The 20,601-nt window shown below is 46.0% G+C and overlaps 1 protein-coding gene across 9 annotated transcripts in view; it reads right to left on the reverse strand.

The window, feature by feature from the left end:
• The window catches only part of SCTR (secretin receptor), an 84,641-nt gene extending 69,202 nt beyond the window's left edge, over positions 1-15,439 (reverse strand). For all 9 annotated transcript variants that reach the window (XR_922984.3, XR_001738889.2, XR_007079571.1 and 6 more), the window contains exon 1: positions 15,111-15,439. Coding sequence is in view for 5 of the 9 variants with exons in the window: in NM_002980.3 (NP_002971.2) it covers positions 15,111-15,182 (72 nt within the window). In the remaining 4 variants the exon portion in view is untranslated. The remainder of the gene's footprint in view (positions 1-15,110) is intronic.

Raw genomic sequence — 20,601 nt, forward strand, 5'->3', positions numbered from 1 at the left:
CCTATCATGGTGGGCGAGGTGTACTTCTTTGCTTGGCCTTGGCCGTGTGACCATGGTCAATGGGACGTTAGTGATTTGATGTGAGCAGAGGTTTGAAATGCTTACCTGCATTTCAGAACCTGGGGTAGCTTGCTCATCTTAGAATGAATGACAGGTGTAGAAGACTGAACCTAACCCAGGGGATGGAGCCAAGCCGGGAGAGCCCAGCCTGGATCAATCACACCCTAGCTCAACTGTAAATGCCAAGAGGGAAATAAACACTTATTGCTGCATGCCACTGAGATGTGTGCAATTGTTATGCCGCCTAGCTGACTGATACAGGGTAGGAAATAAACTCCAGGGCGGTATCAATGTGTGTGAATAGTGAATGAGGTTTCCCAAAAGTAGATGTCAATTTCCACTGTAAGAGTTGAAAGTCCTCTGGCAAAGAGGACTCTCTTGAGAGCAACAGAGCAAGGTTAGAAATGGGATAACATATCTATGATGGGAAGCCCTGTGCAAGAAGAGTTCAACTTCCTTGGCGATTTTCCTTTGGACTATAGAAACAGCAACAATGGAGGATAGTTTAACTTTTTCTTCTCATCCAACAATTCTTTTTTTTAACTGTGGTAAAATATACATAACATAAAATTTACCATTTTAACCATTTAATGTGTGCAATTCAGTGGTATTAGGTATACTCACAATGTTGTGCAACCATCCCCAGTATCCATTTCCATTACCCCGAACAGAAGCTCTGAACTCATCATTTAGCAATAACTCCACATCCCCCCATTTCCCCAGCCCCTGGTAACCTCTATTCTACTTTCTGACTCTAAGAATTTGCCTATTCTAGATACCTCACATAAATGAATCACACAGTATTGGTTTCATTGCACCTCGCTTGTTTCGCTCAGCACATTTTCAGGGTTAATCTATGTAGCAACACGTATCAGAATTTCCTTTTTTTTTTTATTTTACTTTAAGTTCTAGGGTACATGTGCACAACATGCAGGTTTGTTACATAGGTATACATGTGCCATGTTGGTTTGCTGCACCCATCAACCTGTCATCTACATTAGGAATTTCTCCTTAATGCTATCCCTCCCCCAGCCCCCTACCCCCTGACAGGCCCCGTGTATTATGTTCCTCACCCTGTGTCCATGTGTTCTCATTGTTCAACTCCCACTTATGGTTGTGAAGTGGAGCATCTCACATTTGTTTTGCCCTTGATCCTTCCTCTAAAATGTAACAAGCCAAGATAATGTGGGGGGAGGGGGTATGCCAACTAAAGAAATGTGTGGTGTCCACCAGTGTCTGTGAGACAGGAATGTCATTCTGCTGAGAGGACTGAGTCCATGTTTCCAGGTGGTGACCGGCAAAGAGGGACTGGGGTCCCCAGGGTTGCTGGGAGCGCCTGGGAAGAGCATGTGGCTCCTTGGAGCAACCACCCAGAAGATGTGGGAGATGAGAAACAAGCCCTTTTGCTATCTACATCAACCTAGAGAAGAGGGGGAGAGGCTGACATTTAGTAGCTATATGCATGTGTATATGTACACATATTGTATATATTCATTAAATTTAAAAGTATTAAATACATTTTAGTTGTAATTCACAGGAGGGACAAATGAAGATGAAAGAATTGCTGAACTTTATGTAAAATTTTCCTCAAAACAAGAGCTATTCATTTTTTTTAAATCCCTTTAAATTTTTAAAATTGAGTTTGTATAACCACACTGAGCCTTTTTTTTAAATTTGTACTAGTACCAAAGAGTATAATGACAAATAGTATTTCCCTTCCATAACCTTTACCTGCTCTCCAGGCAACCATTTTCAACTCCTTTTAGTTGTTTATTTTCATTTTTGTCTCCATGTTTTAAAATTATATTCTTGGCTGGGCATGGTGGCTCACGCCTGTAATCCCAGCACTTTGGGAGGCTGAGGCGGGCAGATCACAAGGTCAAGAGATGGAGACCATCCTGGCTACCGCGGTGAAACCCCGTCTCTACTAAAAATACAAAAAAAAAAAATTAGCCAGGCGTGATGGCGAGCACCTGTAGTCCTGGCTACTTGGGAGGCTGAGGCAGGAGAATGGTGTGAACTTGGGAGGCAGAGCTTGCAGTGAGCCCAGATAGCGCCACTGCACTCCAGCTTGGGTGAAAGAGCAATCTCTTTGAGATCTCCGTCTCAAAAAAAAAAAATTATATTCTTTTACTGTTGTTATTTCTTGGTTTTTAAATTTGAGACAGTCAAACTTCCTATTAGGGAAGAGAAAGATGAGATGTTTTAAAATCTCCCTACATATACTTCTCTCCTCATATATTACATATACTAATCTTCATTTCATTTTTAGTGAAGAATGGTCTACATTTATAATGACTTATTTTGACTAGGAAATATTGTTCGCTGCTGAGTCAAATCATGTAAAATGATTATGTGTCTTTCTTGTACATTTTGTTTTTCCTGAGGTCTATCATTATTGTTTTTTCATTGGATTAGTTTTCCATGTACATATGGCTAATTTTTCCAAGTGCTCCCACAGCTCTGTTACACATCTATCCACAGTCCTATTGGTTTTTCCTCCGGATATTTCTGTCTCAGAGTTCTCCTTCCTCTTGCTCCACCCAGGCCTGCTATCTGGCTGTGGTTTGGGGTGCCCTCTCCCTGTCTCCTGGCTGGGGTCTCATTTCCTAGGTATCATGGCTTTTTCCTTGGTTTGCTCTCATTTTGCAAAAGCACAGAATTCTCTAGTAACCTCCTAAGAAAAAGTACATGGGGGTAAATTTTTGAATCTTTGCAGAAGTGAAAATATTTTTATTAATTTGATTAATTATTAAACTAATTAACAATTTGGGTAGAAAATACTAGGCTGAAATAATTTTCCTTCCAAATTTTGAAGGCATTTCTCCTCTTCTTGTATTGTTAATAAGAAATCCAATTCTGATTCCAAATCTTTTGTATACAACTTTTTTGTTTTGTCCCTAGATATATGTAAGATTTTTCTTTGTTCTTAGGTATTTTGAAATTTCTTGAGGAAATGGTTGTTTTTAAATTTATTGATTGGATACTCAGTCAGCATTTCAATCTGAAGACTTGTGTTCTTCATTTCTGGGAATTTAAAAAATATTATGTTTTTAATTTATTATTTCCTCCCTTCATCTTTATGCTGTCTCTCTGGAATTCCCACTAGCAGAGTATCGGACGAGGTGCACTGATTCTCCAATCTTTTCATCTTTCTCTACTATTCTACCATTTTGTCTTCGTGATCTTCTTCCTCTTCCTCTTCCCCTTCCCCTTCCCCTTCCCCTTCCCCTTCCCCTTCTCCTTCTCCTTCTCCTTCTCCTTCTCCTTCTCCTTCTCCTTCTCCTTCTCCTTCTTCTTCTTTCTTTTTGAGATGGAGTCCCGCTCTATTTCCCAGGCTGGAGTGCAGTGGCGCAATCTCAGCTCACTGCATCCTCTGCCTCCCAGGCTCAACTGATTCTCCTGCCTCAGCCTCCCGAGTAGCTGGGATTACAGGTGCGTGCCACCAAGCCCAGCTAATTTTTGTATTTTTAGTAGAGACGGGGTTTCACCTTGTTGGTCAGGCTGGTCTCCAACTCCTGACCTCAGGTGATCAACCCTCCTCAGCCTCCCAAAATGCTGGGATTACAGGCGTGAGCCACCGTGCCCAGCCTTTGTGATTTTCTTTATAAAAGATTTCCTTGACATTATCTGTAGAGTTTTTTTATGAATGTTTTGTTTCATACATTTAACTTCCAAGAATCCTTTCTTACTCTGAGATGATTCCTTTTCTATAGCATCCTTTTCTAGTTTTGTGGCTCAGGCATCATTTTCACAAAGGATTTCCAAATATTAGTTGTACGTCTTAAGTTTGTCTCCTCTTGTCTACATGATCTGTTTCCTTGAGGCACTTTTCTCATGATTGTTTGCTTCCACATTGGAGGCCCTCCTCAATGTACGATCTAAGCTTGAGACAGTAACATAGTCCTTGGAAACACTGTGGACCTAAACAGCTTCTTGCCTGGTGGCCTTCACTGTAACATAACCAGGCCAAGAGGGAGCCCACTGCTGGGGTCTATGAGTGGACTCTCCTCAGTGTCTGGGGCCTTTCCAGGGTGCCACAGGATGACTTGACAGTTTCTCCTCTGCCTGCTACAGGCATTGAGGTTATTCTTTCCATACAGCTATCACTTCATCACTTTTCATTTTCCAAAGATTTCTGGAAATTTCTGCTTCATCTCTGTCTCTTGTTTTGTTCTCTTTGTATGGGTTTATACCTTTTCTATTCCTTTACTGTCATTTTAAAAGTGTTTCCAGAGACAGAGCAGATAAATATATGTGGTCAATCTGTCATCTTAAACTGAATGCCCTAAGCATATTTAAAAAAATTCCTCAAAAATTTAATAAGAGATTGTCAGAGAAAAATCACTAAATGGTACTTTTCTATATTATTTTATTATTTTTATTAACTAAACAAAAACATACATTACATATTCTTTCCTTTTTGGTTTCAGAGCCTGAGTCTAAGTCATCATTACATGGAGTTTTGGAAATATTGCTAAAATCATGTCAAAGTTTGGATTTTAAAATATTTAGACCACAAACGTTTTGTATAACTTTTGTCTTTTCCTAGAATTTTAAATCCACTTTCTTTTTTCTTGTTGATCACAAAATTCACAGGCCTTCACCTCATTAATTACACATCAGAGCTGTACTTCAAGGTTCTGAAGAGAACGGCTTTCTGTAACATTGCCTACTGTCTTCTCTGGGGTGTTCTTCAAGGAGCCCTTTGATTTTCTGAACTGAATCTTTTCTAGGGTCTTTTGCAGAACCATGGAACTGGTGCCCATCCATTGCTTTTCTGGGTAAATTCCACTTTTTAGTATCCCATAATTTTACATTGAGTTTTGGTTTTGCTACATAAAACTATGGTAATTTTTTAAAGAAGAAGTGCTTAAGTTGTAAACTGTGTGAGTCACTGCATGTCTAACAGTGTCTCTGCAGGGTGTATCACCCTTTGTCTCACTCAACACATAGTCGTGGTTGGTCCCACTGTGGTGTATAAGTTCACCTCTTGCTTGACAATTCTATGATGAACTTCCACCATCTCTTTCTTTGGGTTATTTTTCCAGATGGTAGACATGTTTTGAGGTGTCTGCTTAGCCCCTGAACCAACAACTGCCCCCTGGGAAGAACCCTTTCATGTCTAGGCTGGGTGGTTTATGCTGTGTGATCCTATCCCACTGATTAGACCAAAGGAGAAAACCTAACCAGGTGTGAGACAATCTGCCTTCCTTGGATATTTGGTGTTGGCATGGGGAGAAAGCCAATCTCTCCCATTTCCAAAGCATGCAAACTTGGAGGCTATGGAGCATCCATATACTATCCTGTAGAAAGCAACAGAAAAATCCAGTCTGCAGAGAGAAAGAATAACAAAGAAGACACAAATAAGAGAGAAAATATGTCAAGTGGGTTCTGTTAGCTATTTTGGAGTTTAATTTTGGACTCTTAAGTCAAGATGGCAAAATCTGGGAGGAGATATAATAAAAATCTTTTAAATTCTGAATAAAGGCTGGGTGCAGTGGCTCACGGCTGCAATCCTAGCACTTTGGGAGGCCAAGGCAGGTGGATCACCTGAGGTCGGGAGTTTGAGACCAGCCTGACCAACATGGAGAAACCCCGTCTCTACTAAAAATACAAAAAAATCAGCCAAGCGTGGTGGCGCATGCCTGTAATCCCAGCCACTCAGGAAGCTGAGGCAGGAGAATCTCTTGAACCCGGGAGGCAGAGGTTGCAGTGAGCCAACATCATGCCACTGCACTCCAGCCTGGCAACAGAGCTAGACTCTGTCTCAAAAGAAAAAAAAAATCTGAATAAGGTAAAGAGACTCAACATCATCTCTCTTCTCACACTTTATAATTACTTGCCTAACAACCAGAGACTGGAAAGATATCGCTTCAAGGGGGGAAAGGAAAGTAATAGTCTAATTTATACAATGAGAAATAAAAACAGGAAACTCATCATTATATAACCTATTCAAAACTCAAAATTTTAGCAAACATTTATTGGGCACCTACTATATGCTTAGCAGTCTGCCCATCACTGGTGACATGAAGGTGAATGGGACATAGATTCTGTCCTTGAAGCTCATGGTCTCCAACAGGGGCCAGAGAAGTCAATGGCCAGAGGGCCCAATGTAAGTGCTGTGAGGAATTTTAAATGGGAGTGGCATTGCCAAGTCTGCCATTATGAGAAGGAAGGAGGATGGGGTCAGAGTAGTAGTAAAGAACCCCTAGGAGATGGCTCTACCATTTAAGCAAGACGTGAGGATTGTCTTTGAAATAATTACTTTTCAGTGTCAACTTGACTGGATTAAGGGCTAACTGCATAGTTGGTAAAACACTATTTCTGGGTGTTTCTGGAGGAGATTGGCTCAGGAGTTGGTAGACTGAGTGAGGAAGATCTGCTTCAACGTGGGCAGGCACCATCCAATCGGCTGGGCACTGAATACAACAAAAAAGGCAGAGAAAGGTAAATTCACTAACTTACTCTCTCTCTTTCTCTCTCTTTCCTGGAACTGGGACACCCTTCTCCTGTCCTTGAACATCAGAATCCCAGGTTCTACAGCCTTGGATTTTAGAACTTGCACAAGTGGTCCCCCCATGGTTCCCAGGACTCTAGCTTCTGACTGAGTTCCACCATCATCTTCCCTGATTCTGAGGCGGTCAGACTCAGAACCACGTTGGCCTGAGCCATGTTGCTGGCAAGATGGAAAGGAAGGAGGTGCCCAGCACTGCATGCCTCTAAGATGTGTTGGGTATTTCCTAGTGTCTCAGTGTAACTATTCATAGTATCTCTTCTCTCTCAAAAACTGCATGGATGACCCTTGGTAGGATCCGGACTGGAAAGTATCTAGTGCATACAAATGGCCAACAGGTAAATGAAAAGCTGCTCAACATCACCAATCATGAAGGAAATGCAAATCAAAGCCGCAATGAGCCATCATCTCACACCTGTTAGGGGGGCTAATGTGGGGTGAGAACAAGTGCTAACAATGATGTGGAGAAAAGGAGACTCTTACATACTATTGGAAGAAATGTAAACTGGCTTAGCCATTATGAAAGACAGCATGGAGCTTCCTCAAAAAAATTCAAAATAGAACTAACATATGATTCAGGAATCACACTTCTGGTCATAAACCCAAAGGAAATGAAATCAGCACCTCGTAGAGGTACCTGTGCCCCCATGCTCACTGAAGCACTATTCACCATTGCCAAGATGTGGGAGCAACTTACGTGTCTCTCAACAGATGAATGGATGAAGAAACATGCTGCATATATACAATGGAATGCCAGTCAGCTTTAAAAAAGGAGATCCTATCATTAGTGACAACATGAATAAACTTGAAAGACATGGTGCTAAGTGAAATAAGCTGGTCACAGAAAGAAAAATACTGCATGATCTTACTTATATGTGGAATATTACAAAGTTGAATACAAAGCAGCAGGGAGTTGAATGGTGGTTGCCAGGGCCTGGGAGGGGGTGGGAATGGAGAGATATAGGTCAAAGGGTATGAAGTTGCAGTTACACCAGGATGAATAAGTCTAGAGATCTAATGTACAGCATGAAGACTATAGTTAATAATACTGTATCGGGCCGGGTGTGGTGGTTCACGCCTATAATCCCAGCACTTGGGGAGGCTGAGGTGGGCTGATCACCTGAGGTCGGAAGTTCAAGACCAGCCTGGCCAACATGGTGGAACCGCGTCCCCACTAAAAATACACAATTAGCCAGGCATGGTGGCGCATGCCTCTAATCCCAGCTACTCGGGAGGCTGAGGCGGGAGGATCACTTGAACCTCTTGAACCCGGGAGGCAGAGGTTGCAGTGAGCTGAGATCGCACCATTGCACTCTGGGCTGGGCAAAAAGAGCGAAATTCTGTCTCAAAAGTAATAACAATAATAATAACACTGTATCGTACACTGGAATTTTGCCATAAGAGTAGATTTCAGGTGCTCTTACCACACACACACACACATGCACACAAATGGTAACTTTGTGAAGAAACATATGTTAATTTGCTTGACTATAGTAATCACTTCACTGTGTATTTCAAAATATCATGTTGTACACTTTAAGTGCTTTTTTTTTTTTGAGACGGAGTCTCACTCTTTCACCCAGGCTGGAGTGCAGTGGCACAATCATGGCTCACTGCAGCCTCTACTTCCCTGGTTCAAGCATTCCTCCCGCCTCAACCTCCTGGGTAGCTGGGACTACAGGCACACACCACCACACCCAGCTAATTTTTAAAATTTTTTGTAGAGACAAGGTCTCCTATGTTGCCCAGGCTGGTCTTGAACTCCCAGGCTCAAGCCATCCACCTGCCTCAGCCTCCCCAAGTGCTGGGATTACAGGAGTGAGCCACCGTGCTTAGTCTACAATTTTTATTTTTTAAAAAAGATTATAAAAAAGAATCCAGTGAATGTGGCAAATCGAAGGGCACTGGTGAGGCTGGTTTCTGTGGGTGGAGCGTGGGAGCCAGGTTGCAGTGTGAGAGTGAGTGAAGTGGAGGCAATGAAGGTGGACGCGTCTTACAGGAAGCTGGCCACCAGGGGGCAGAGAGCAGAGGGCTATTTACTGCCTGGGCTGGATAGACTTGGGGAAGTTAACCAGCTGATGAGAAAAGTCAGCGGAGAGGAAGAGGGTGAAGGTTGGGTGAGATGGCTGTCATTGTGTTGTCCTGGGAAGGAAGTCGGTAGGGGTAGGAGTAGGGACAGGCTGTTGTCTGGGGAACAGCCTCTCTTCCACTTGGATGCTGTTATGGACTGAATGTGTCTCCACTAAATTCATATGTTGAAGCCCTACCCCCAGGGTGGCTGTATTTGGAGGTAGGGCCCATAAGGAGGTAATTAAGGTTAAACAGCATTGTAGTAATAGGGCCCTGATCCTATAGGATTAGTGTCCTTACAAGAAGAAATACCAGAAAGGTGTTTCCCTCCCCTCCCCTGCATCCACACACTCACTGGAAATGCCACATGAGGACAAAGTGGCCATGTGCAAGCCAGGAAGAGGGTCCCCACCAGAGACCAAACCCTTGGGGATCTTGATCTCACACTTCCAACCTCCAGAACCGCGAGATTAATTTCTTTTGTTTAAGTCCCCAAGTCTGTGGTATTTTGTTATGATAACACAGCTGACTAAGACAGACGGGAAGGAAAGGAACAGAGGGTACAATTTAGACACATCTGTAAGGGCAAGATGTTGGTTAGAAGTTCATCCAGGTAGTCTCAACTCTTGGGAAATGGAAGGTGAGCCCATCTGTTGAACATGAGAGGGAGGCGGGAGGTGAGAAATTTGAAAGACACGTGGCCATCAGGAGCACGCCTAAGAGCCTCAGGTGAGGGAAGTGGGGTGGGGCATGGCAGGATCTGGAGATGACTCTGGGAACCTCAGGAGCCTGCAGCACAATGGGCTAAGACTGCGGGACGTGATGAACCAGGGATGACCCTCCCCAAATGCCATCCTTGGAACAGACGCACAATGTAGAGGCTGGGTGGGCCCCAGGAGTCCATAGGAATGCTGAGCAGCCTTCTGTTTGTAATGTAAGCAAGTAGATAGCATCTGAGTATTGTGGTTTTACCTTGAGCTGCAGGTTGTCCCGAAGCCTGAGTGAAGGTCAGTGGTGAGAACCTACAGCTTGCTAAGAGCAGGGATGCAGAGACCAAGCTGGGGCTCACTGCAAGAGGCTGTTCTGGTGGTGGAGCTCGAATCCCAGATATTAAATCTAGGCTTTCAGCAAGGGGGTGCCAGGAAGAGAGGCTATGTCCTCCCTTGTCATGGTAGGAAATCTGGGGACTTCCCAACCTGGGTGGGGATCATGAGGACAGGGTGAGGTTGGGAAGTTCTGCGGGAACTCCAAAGGGTGACGATGCCAAAGCAGGTGGACTCCCCCTTTTTTTTTGAGACGGAGTTTTGCTCTTGCTGCCCAGACTGGAGTACAATGGCATGATCTCAGCTGACTGCAACCTCCGCCTCCCAAGTTCAAGCGATTCTCCTGCCTCAGCTTCCCGAGTAGCTGAGATTACAGGCCACCACGCCCAGCTAATTTTTTTGTACTTTTAGTAAAGACAGGGTTTCTCCATGTTGGTCGGACTGGTCTCAGACTGGTCTCAAACTCCCGATCTCAGGTGATCCACCCGCCTCGGCCTCCCAAAGTTCTGGGATTACAGGCATGGGCCACCGCGCTCCGCCTAAGTGGACTCCCCTAAACTGTTTGGGAACTGGTATCTCCTCCTGTTGGATTTTGTGACCCCATGCTCATTTCTGGGCCCCTCAATAAATGCTGTGTGTAACTCAGTATTTTTTTATGTTTCACAAATTGATTAGTTTAAATGAAAATTAATGCTATTTTGAAGTTTGGGAGATAATTTTATGACAGCTCCTTGGGCACCAGAAACCCGGAACAGGCCTCTCTTTTGGAGCAGATGCATGTGCTGGTTAAGAAGCTCTGCGGTGGCTCACGCCTGTAATCCCAGCACTTTGGGAGGCCAAGGTGGGTGGATCACGAGGTCAGGAGTTCAAGACAAGCCTGGCCAATGTGGTGAAACCCCATCTCTACTAAAAAATACAAAAATTAGCCAGACATTGTGGTGCATGCCTGTAGTCCCAGCTACTCAGGAGGCTGAGGCAGGAGAATCGCTTGAACCTGGGAGACGGAGGTTGCAGTGAGCCAAGATCTCGCCACTGCACTCCAGCCTAGGTGACAGAGTGAGATGAGACTCTGTCTCAAAAAAAAAAAAAAAAAGAAAAAAAGAAAAGAAAAACAAAGAAAAAAAAAAGAAAAAAAAACAAAAAAGAAGTTCCAGGTTTAAGGTCTCATGTCACCATGTCCAGCTGGGTGGCCTTAAGCAAATGGCTTCACATCTATCCAAGTGTCAGTTTCCTCATCTGCACCATGGGGCTAATAACTGTTGAAGTGAGTGTTAGTGTTAGGAGGGACTCAGCAGAGTGTCTGGTAGAAAATAAGAGTCAATTAAAGGAGCCTTCATCATCCTTCACTTATTAACTTCAGGGATAATAAAAATCTCAAAAGAAATCCACAAATACTTCTTCAGAAAACTAGAAAGTGTTTTTCCAGGTACACAAAAAAAATCCCCAGTGACCCTCTCTGAAAAGTCATCAATAATCAGCTCCCAGGCTGGGCATGGTGGCTCATACCCATAATCCCAACACTTTGGGAGTCTAAGGCAGGAGGATCACTTGAGCCCAGGAGTTCAGGACCAACCTGGGAGACATGGTGAGACCCATCTCTAAAAAAATTAAAAAATTAGATGGGGATGGTGGCAGGTGTCTGTAGTTTCAGCTGCTTGGGAGGCTGAGGTGGGAAGATCACTTGAGCCAGGAAGTTCAAGGCTGCAGTGAGCCATAATCGCACCATTGCACTCCAGCCCGGGCAACAGGGTAATTACCAGCTCTGCAGGCAACGCTTGCAGGCCTTTCTAAGGTTCTGCTCACTGTGCAGCCACAGGGCTTGTCAGCTTCTGGATCCAGATGCATGACCGGACAGGGCAGCGACCACCATGTACTGAAGGCTTCCATGTGCCAGAGCCTGTACTTGGAATTTTTATATTTCTTAGCCATCAACTGAGGAGGGATGGAGATAGGAGGGAAAAAGATGGGAAGGGAGGGTGGAATAGATCAAGGAAACATTCTCCACAGAAGTCCTTTGTCCAGTTTGGAAACTGGTTTTCATCAGGCACACCTGTTTCCATCCTCTGACTCAGATGCCGTATCACCAACCCCACTGCCCCAAACCCAATGTGAAATGAATACCTATTGTTAGCCCTATCTGTGTATCTGTCCTGAAACATGACAACCTTTAAGGCAACGGTTCTCAAGCAGGGGCGATTTTGCCCTTCCTACCCCCAGAAAAAATTTGGCAATGTCTAGAGATACATTTTCTGTTGTCACAGCTTTGGAGTGATCATGGGCTTCTAGAGGGCAGAGGTCCATGATGCTGCTAGACATTGTACAATGCACAGGACAGCTCTCAGAAGAGAGAATTATCTGGCTCCAAATGTCAGTAGTGTGAAGAAACTCTGCTTGAAGGAAAAACCAGCCCCACACACCTCACTTAACTCACTAAGGTTAACAAATTGGCAGTTTGCCAAATGTCATGGATTAAAAAGCCCTACCTTGAGTGACTCTTTCTCTACAGCCTGACACATTTCTGTACAATTTAGCAAGTAAGGAGTGCTTTCAAGAGGTGATTCTTCCTTATTTGTTGCTGCATCAGCATGATTTCATTCAGTCATCCATGCATTCATTCAACAAACACTCACTGAGCTCCTTCTTACACTGTGACAGACTCTAGGGATGAAAGATGAACAAGATGAGTCTCCATGTTCAAGTTCAAAGTGTGCATATTGGGGTTTGGGGGACAGATGTGTTAGTAAATAATTACAGTAATGTTCCAGGTAAAAGTTCTCATGAGATGTATGGGGGTGGGGCCGCAGAGGGGGCTGTGATCAGTATTTCTTATAGGGAGGCCTCAGAAAACTGCCCCATTCGGCCACTTTTTGGGTTTCACTTACAAGGGTCACTTCTGACGCCTCCCTATATGGAGTAGAGGGAGAGCGGTAATAAGCAATTTGGCCTCACTGACCCCCCTCCATTGGGAAGATGCCTATAATCTCCCTCAAGGGGGAGCTTCAAATGAATAAAAAATTATTTGAACACACTTAGATTTCAAAATCAAATGTGTGACCACCCAGAGTCAAACAGAAGGAAAGCAGGGCTCCAGAGGCTGGGAAATATTCCAACCAAAGTAGGTCAGTTCCACTCCTATTTATTACAGGAGTTCTCAGCCAAGAAGTGTGAGATCTAAGGTCTACAGAAGCCGTAAAATAACCCAAGGACCACGACTTATACACAGGAAACCATCTTGTGATTATGTAAGGCAGTAATGCACATTTGAAAATACAAGGGACCGCCGGGCGCGGTGGTTCATGCCTCTAATCGCAGCACTTTGGGAGGCCGAGGCAGGCAGGTCACCTGAGGTCAGGAGTTTCAGACCAGCCTGACCAACATGGAGAAATCCCATCTCTACTAAAAATACAAAAAATTGGCCGAGCATGGTGGCACATGCCTGTAATCCCAGCTACTTGGGAGGCTGAGGCAGGAGAATCCCTTGAACCTGGGAGGCGGAGGTTACAGTAAGCCAAGATCGCGCCACTGCGCTCCAGCCTGGGCAACAAGAGTGAAACTCTGTCTCAAAAGAAAAAAAAAAAAGAAAAAGAAAAAGGAAATACAAGGGGTATAAAAGACAGAGCCCTGGATGGTTGGGAATCAAGAGATCTGGGTGCTAACCTTAGTGGGTTAAGTGGGGTATGTGGGGCGAGTAGAGCTGCTAGTCCCGGCTCTACTACTAACTTGCTGATCTCGGGCAGCTCCCTTCTCTCTGAGAGTCTCAGTGTGCTCATTTTTAAAATGAGGGATTGGGACCATAGCATAATGAAGCATCCTTCCAAGGTACACTGAAGACTTAAACCAAGTGAAGCCTCTCATTTTCCCCTTCCATTTATTCCTGTGATAATCCAGGGATTTCCTTGAGATAAAAATGTAGGCTGAACCTCAGTCCTGCACTCGAGGTACCAGTTACGACAGTCTCAGAGTCACTGCAAATACTTAAGAAGGAGGCTGGGAGGGTCCCAAGGAAGGAGCTATTGCCTCTCCCACCCCCAGCCACGGAATAACACACCTTCTGGCTCTACCTGGCTTTGCACTGTCCCCAGTATCCCAGTTGGCATTTCTCCAAATTGGGAGTCAAAACTCATGAGTGCATGCTGTTGCTCTAGCGTCTTCCAAGGCCAGCACTGCCACTGAAGAGAGGAGGCTCCACGGTGGCAAGGGAGCTCCAAGCAAGCTCCAAATTGCACTCATCCCAACTACTGCTGCTGAAAGTCTTGGGGCTACCAGAAAAATGAGCATCTCCTGAGTGTCAACACTCTGGTCGGCTCCGGGAGCATTGGTTTTCCTTATAATCAAACCAGAGGAGACTAAGGGAAGACAAGGAGGCTGGACACCATGAGACTTGCCCAGGACAGAGATCAGAGACTCAGTTGGGTCCCCAAGCGCGTTCCCTGGGGAGCTTCTTGGAAGAGACGACTTGGGGACCAATTTGGAATGCTAGTGGGAAGGGATGATTCTGGAATCTGGCCCCCACCTCTAACCCCCACTCCCTCCCCATTCCTTCCTTTCTGCTGGTCTGGGTGGGGCCACTCTCTTTATCAGAGATCCCGGAGCTCAGAGAGGCCCGGGACTCCCAGGAATTTCTGTTGGAAAGAAAAACAAACCACCCATCCTGCCGCTATTATTATTATTATTATTATTATTATTATTATTATTATTATTATTATTTTCCTCCTCCAGCCCCTTGCCAGGACCTGGCTTTGGGGAACAGCAGCGCCCTGGAGCCACCAGGCACGCAGACATTAGGGAGCCGCATCCCACACGAGACGGTGTGGGGAGAGCGGCAGGCGGTCCCATCGCAGACCCAGAAGCTCCTGCCAGAGCTCCCTCAGGTTTTCCCATCCGCAGCCCGTGAGTGTGAAAATGTCAAGGTTTGGGGGCAGACTGATACTGATGTGGGTTCCAATCCTCTTTTTCTGACTTGCAGCAAGAATTTTTATTCCCCCTCTCCTCTCCTTTCCTTTCCTTTCTTTGTCTGTAAAGTGACGGTGATAATAGCAGCCTCGAAAGGTGATTACCAGGTTTCAAGGAAAGATTGGAGGCAAAGCGCCCAGGACACAGTAGGCACTGCCACGGGCGGCTCCAGAATTTCCGTGTAGGAGAGTTTCAGAAGCCAGACCAGAGGAAGGGGTCGGTGGTGGGCACAGGGATTCATCTTAGAGCCGCCTTCGTCTGGCGCGCACGATGTTTTTCTTTGGGAAAGGGTCCCTCCGGAGAAGAGCTGGGAGAGATTAATGTTGGGAGGATTGGGAGGGAAGAGTCCCTATTCCTCATGGGAAGATCTGCTAGTCCCTCTCCACCTGCATCCTGCCCGAGGCCGGAGAAAGGGCGAGACTGTCGCTCCCTCGGGTCCCCAGCCTGCAGAAGGGCGCAGTACTCACCGAGTGCGCGGCGCAGGCGAGCAGCACCGGCAGTAGTAGCTGCTGCAGCGGCGGCGACAGGTGGGGACGCATGGTGCCCGCACGTTCCCCGAGGGCGCCCCGACGTCCGCCTGCCCGTGCCCTCTGCCCGCTCGGGAGCTCAGCGCCCCGCGCAGGGTCCCGGGCTCCGGCCGGCCGCTGCGCCCCGAGGAGCCATGGCTGAGCCACCCGACCTGCGGCGGGCCCCGGGACTGCTCCTCCTCGGACCAGGTGGCCGCGCGCGCTAAGCCGCCCGCCCCATTGATCAGGACGCGGCTTTGCCGGCGCGCCTCCTCCACCCGGCAGGGACTGGCGCGGGGTCGGCGCGGAGGCTGGCAGGGGAGGAGGCAGAGGGAGGGCGCGGGGACCCGGAGTCGGCTCCCGCAGGCTGGGCCCAAGCTGGAGGAGGCCAGGAGAGGGCACGCTGGCTTAGCCTTCTACGCGGCAATCCCGCCCAACCCCGGGTCCGGAAAGAGCACTGTCTCTGGAGTCCACGGACAGAAAGCGCAAGCTCGCTGGGGGCCGGTGGGCAACTTAGGTCACCTTTGTAAGCCTCGGCTTTCTCATCCCTAACAACACGTCTGATAATACCCACTCTCGGACTGAAAGTTGTCACACAGTCGAGGCCCATTGCATCTATTCCCCCCGATAGCTACCTTGCACTTTATTTCCGATTTTTTCATTATTGAAGTCATTAGCGCTAATTCCATGAAGTTTCACTCCCATGAACTCCTCCTTTGATGATGACCAAGGAGGATCTGTGGTACACTCAGGCATCTGGGGACCGTCCTGAGGATGAACCCCCTGGGAGGCTATTTAAGCCTCAGGCAGGTAGTCCCAGTAGCCCTCTCCATCGGTGCTGTGTATCCTGGAGGTTTGCTTTTGGCCTCTTAGTACAAGGCGTCTCTTAGTACAAGACGTCCTCTTAGTACAAGGCGTCTCTTTTGGCCTCTTAGTACAGGGCGATGGCCCTTTTTTACTGTTACATAAAAAAGAGAGTCTCACCATGTTGCCCAGGCTGGTCTTGAACTCTTGGGCTCAAGAGATCCTCTCACCTCGGCCTCCCAAAGTGCTGGGATTACAGGCATGAGCCACTGGGCCCAGCACTAGATGGGTCTTGCAAACTCAATTTTCCTTAGTCTGCACTGGTGCCCACTCCCTTCCTTCTTCTCTCTCCTCCTTTCTTGATCTTTCTCCCAGGCACTTTAAGTACATCAGCTCATTTAATTCTCCCTCACACCCCTAGGTGATACGATGTCCATTTGACAGAGGAGGGCATTGGAGGTGGAGGAGGATTCATTACATGTCTGGGTACTGCAACTCAGAGGCTCAGACAGGAAAGCCTGAATCTACCCTTACATGGCTGACCCGACTCTCTGTAACTGGCCCTTACGCAGAAGGCCATGCAGCTGTTAAGGTAACAATGTGTTGTCCTTAGCAGCCTTCCCTACCGGAAGAGACTATTAGTAAATTGAGGCTGGTAAATCCCAGCAGAAATAAAAGGGAGGAAAATCCATTCAGCTCCTAGGTCCAAAACCAATGCTCAGTACACATCAAACCTAAAGTATACATAATCACCAACCCCCTGCTAGAAACTCTTTCTACATAAATACTCACCCAAGGGCCTAATGAAATGTGCAAGGATGTTTGCGGAAGCACTATGACAGTGGCAGGAAACGAGATGATATATGGGGAAAGGGAATCACCCTTATTTCTTTCTTTCTCATGGGCAGCAGTCATTACTATAATGCTCCTGACTTGTTTCTACCCCTTCCCTCTCTCTGTCTGTCTATCCCCCACCTCTCTCTCATGTGCACCCACACGCAAGCATGCATGCAGGCACGTATACACAGGTGAGGCCAGCTTACATGATTGATGCATTTGGAATAAGGAACTGGCATGAGTTCGGTCCCCTCCTCTCTCCTTCCTTTGACAGTGTGCCCCCCTACAGAGAGCCTGTAACTGGATTTCCCTGGGCCAGGCTGTGATTAGTGGTCGAGGCTCTACTGGAACTGGTCCAGTATGAACTGTTGTCTCTCTAATTCTGGGGTTTAGTTAGGAAACCCACTTGCCTACAAGTATAAACCACATTCTGCAATACTGACTTTATAAAGTGATATTTGGCCGCATCTGTCTTGATCTTATTTCTCAATTGGTTCAAGTTTCAGGCTAGAAAGAAAAATGTTATTTCCTAGGCTGCTTGAACCGCAGCACCCTAAATATCCATCGCAAAGTGCCTGAGGTAAGGACTTGCAATTTTTACTATACAGATTTCTGTGTTGTTTGAATGTTTTCTGTAACAACGCTGCGTATGGCTGTTTGGCGTTGAAATAAATAAAAAGAAAACAACACAAAAATGCAATCCGTGCTTTATACCAGAGCTTCGTGATATCTGATGAAAAAACAAAACAACATTAGTTCTGGGCAATTCAATACATTTCTGGCCTGTAGCAAGCCATTCTTGCTTAAATGGGAAGCTCTGCCTCTCAGAGAGTTGAGAAAAGGGATTGAAGTGCTCCCTGAAAGGTCCTTAAAACCTGCCTAAGACAATTTCACAATAGGGGTAGAAGGGAAGAGGTAGGAAAACTAACCATATATTTACCACCTGTCGTGTGCTGGGGAGTCTGTTAGGAAGCTCGGGTGTGTTATCATATCCAGTCCTCCAAGACCATAAAAGAGATGGGAACTTGAGGCTTAGGAAAGATAAGTGCTTGCCTCCATCAGCACAGCTAATAAGGGGAGGAGCCAGGATTTGAATTCAGGACTGAGCCCAAGCCTGTGTCGTGAAGGAAACAAAATATTTCACTCTATTATTTGACATATTTTGAGATGGCTGTTCAGAGGGCCTCCAAACAGAAGTAGCCCTGCAAGGCTGTCTTTTACTGGGGAGATTGCATCTGGAGAGAGAACTCTGCACTGATGCAGCCAGGCTTTCTCTGTGGAACCTCCCATATCCAGATCTAAGAAAGGTTAACTGAGAGTTCAACACCTTAACTGTCTGAAAGACACACACACACACACAATCTGTCCTCTCTTAGGCCTGCTACCTGTGAGGTTTCATCTGCATAACAAGCCCAACTTTACCAGCCAGGCCTCCTCTTCTCCACCACCCCCCAACCTATTTTGCCACACACCATAAGCCCCCATTCTTCCTGTAACTTCAAGATGGAATATGAAAGCGTCCACCCTCTGGCCATTTCTTTGAGTTGTGTTTTGAAAGACTCCTGTGCACATTTTAAAATTTGCATGCCTTTTCGCCTATGAATCTGCCTTTTTTTTTTTCAGTTGATTTTCAGTGGAACTTCAGAGGGCAAAAGGGAAGTTTTTCCTTGGTGCCTAGAGCTCTTTGCATGGTACTGGGATTCCTCTCCAACATGGAGATGGTCTCCTTGTACTTAGGCTTCACAAGCTCTTTTGTGTGCATCTTCTTATTAATTAACAGAGCTCTGTGAGGTAGGTAGGGATGAGCAGGCAGGGGCCTGGCAGAAGAAGGAGAAACTGTGGCTCAAACGGTTTAATCAAAGGGAGTTTAATGAAAGGACTATGTGCAGAGGGTAGGCAGGAACCAGCAAGGGATGGTGAGGTGGAGGGATCGGCAACAGGAAGTCTGAAGGGTGACGAAGACTCTCCTTGACTAAAGTTTAGTCAGGCTCCTCTAGCCCTCTTCCCAACTAAGCTTTGACCTTGGCCCCCCGTCCTGTTTTCAGTTTCCCTAGCCCAGTCTCGGTAAGGATCCTGTGAAGTGAGTTTAGGAAGATCTCCTACTCCACTCTTGATATCTCATCACTTTTGATATCTGCTTCAGTTCCTCATTCTCCACCTTTGATATTTAAGCCCTTGGTCTGCCTTTAGCAAGAATCCTATTTAGAAGGGTTTAGCAAGAATCCTGCCAGCACTGATATCTCCTCTTAGTAATTTTCCATCCACTGACCCTTACCCTGCACCTGGGCTGTAAATCTTCACTTATCCCTGTTGTATTTGGAGTAGAGCGTGATTGCTCCTCCCCATCACAAAGCCCCTGTTGCTATAGTCTTGAAATAAATCATCCTTACCATTTTGGCAAGTGTCGCAATAACTTTTTCTTTAACAAGGGGCAAAGAGTGAAAGCAGTGCTTCTAAAAGCTGGCAAGAGTTGTTCTTGGGAGAGAGGTCACCTATAAGGGCTGTTGGGGCTCAGAAACTGTTACCCCAAAATGTGGCATTTTGACATGCTGATCTGAAGAAGGCTTAAGGTCTATCTGACCTTCCCCTCTACCCCTGCCCAACCCCTGTCTCTCCCAAAGCATAGGACGAAGCTGTTCCCTGAAGTTTCTTTATCTGCCTAAAGTCAGGACCCACCAAGAACAATTGTTTTTCTTCTCCTCTCTGGTATCTCATTATCTATTACAGAAAGAAGACCAAGAATGTAACCATACCTCAACAGACCCTTTTACAAGATGTTTGTGTCTCAGACTCCTTCAATTCCAAAGAAAGCTATTTACAAGTTAATCTCTATTTCCCATCCATTCATTCTCCCTAGAAGTCATTTTGCCCCTCAACAGAATGACTCTCTCCCCCACTCCATAACCTGTTTTGCCATAATCTAAGCCTCCCATTCTTTCTGTAACCTCAAGATGATATTGAGAAAACTGTTACTTGAGGAATGCAAATCCTTTTAATTATCAGGCCCAGAAAGACATTAAAATGAGACCATGTTCACATCTTCCTCCCCACTTTGACCTATGTATTTATCTTTTTTTTTTTTTTTGAGACAAAGTCTCTCTCTGTTGCCCAGGCGCCCAGGCTGAAGTGGAGTGGTGCCATCTCAGCTCACTGCAACCTCCTCCTCCCGGGTTCAAGCAGTTCTCTTGCCTCAGCCTCCTAAGTAGCAGGGATTACAGGTGTGTGCCACCACGTCTGGCTAATTTTTGTATTTTTAGTAGTGATAGGGTTTCAACATGTTGACTGGGATGCTCTCAAATTCCTGGCCTCAAGTAATCCTCCCACCTTGGCCTCCCAAAGTGCTGGGATTACAGGTGTGCACCACCACACCCGGCCTATGTATTAATCTCTTGAAATCACTTGCTGTTGCCACGAAGAGCTACAAATTAACCTAATAATGCCACACTGGACACTATAACCCATACACCACAGCTTACCGCTTATAACCAAACACTAATCAATGTTATTCCTGTAAACCAATGAGAATTACTGACAGACAACTTTTCATCAGCCCACTCCATGTCCCCCTTTTCTGCCTTTAAAAATCCACTTGACAGCTACTCGGGAGGCTGAGGCAGGAGAATGGCGTGAACCCGGGAAGGGGAGCTTGCAGTGAGCCGAGATTGCGCCACTGCAGTCCGCAGTCCGGCCTGGGCGACAGAGCGAGACTCCGTCTCAAAAAAAAAAAAAAAAAAAAAAAAAAGAGTGAGGGCTTCAGTCCATCTTTGGACAGGAGGTTTAGGTAATGAGCACTGCAGAGAATGGCCTTTTT

Source organism: Homo sapiens, chromosome 2 (genome assembly GCF_000001405.40).
Source record: "Homo sapiens chromosome 2, GRCh38.p14 Primary Assembly".
Classification (NCBI taxonomy): domain Eukaryota; kingdom Metazoa; phylum Chordata; class Mammalia; order Primates; family Hominidae; genus Homo; species Homo sapiens.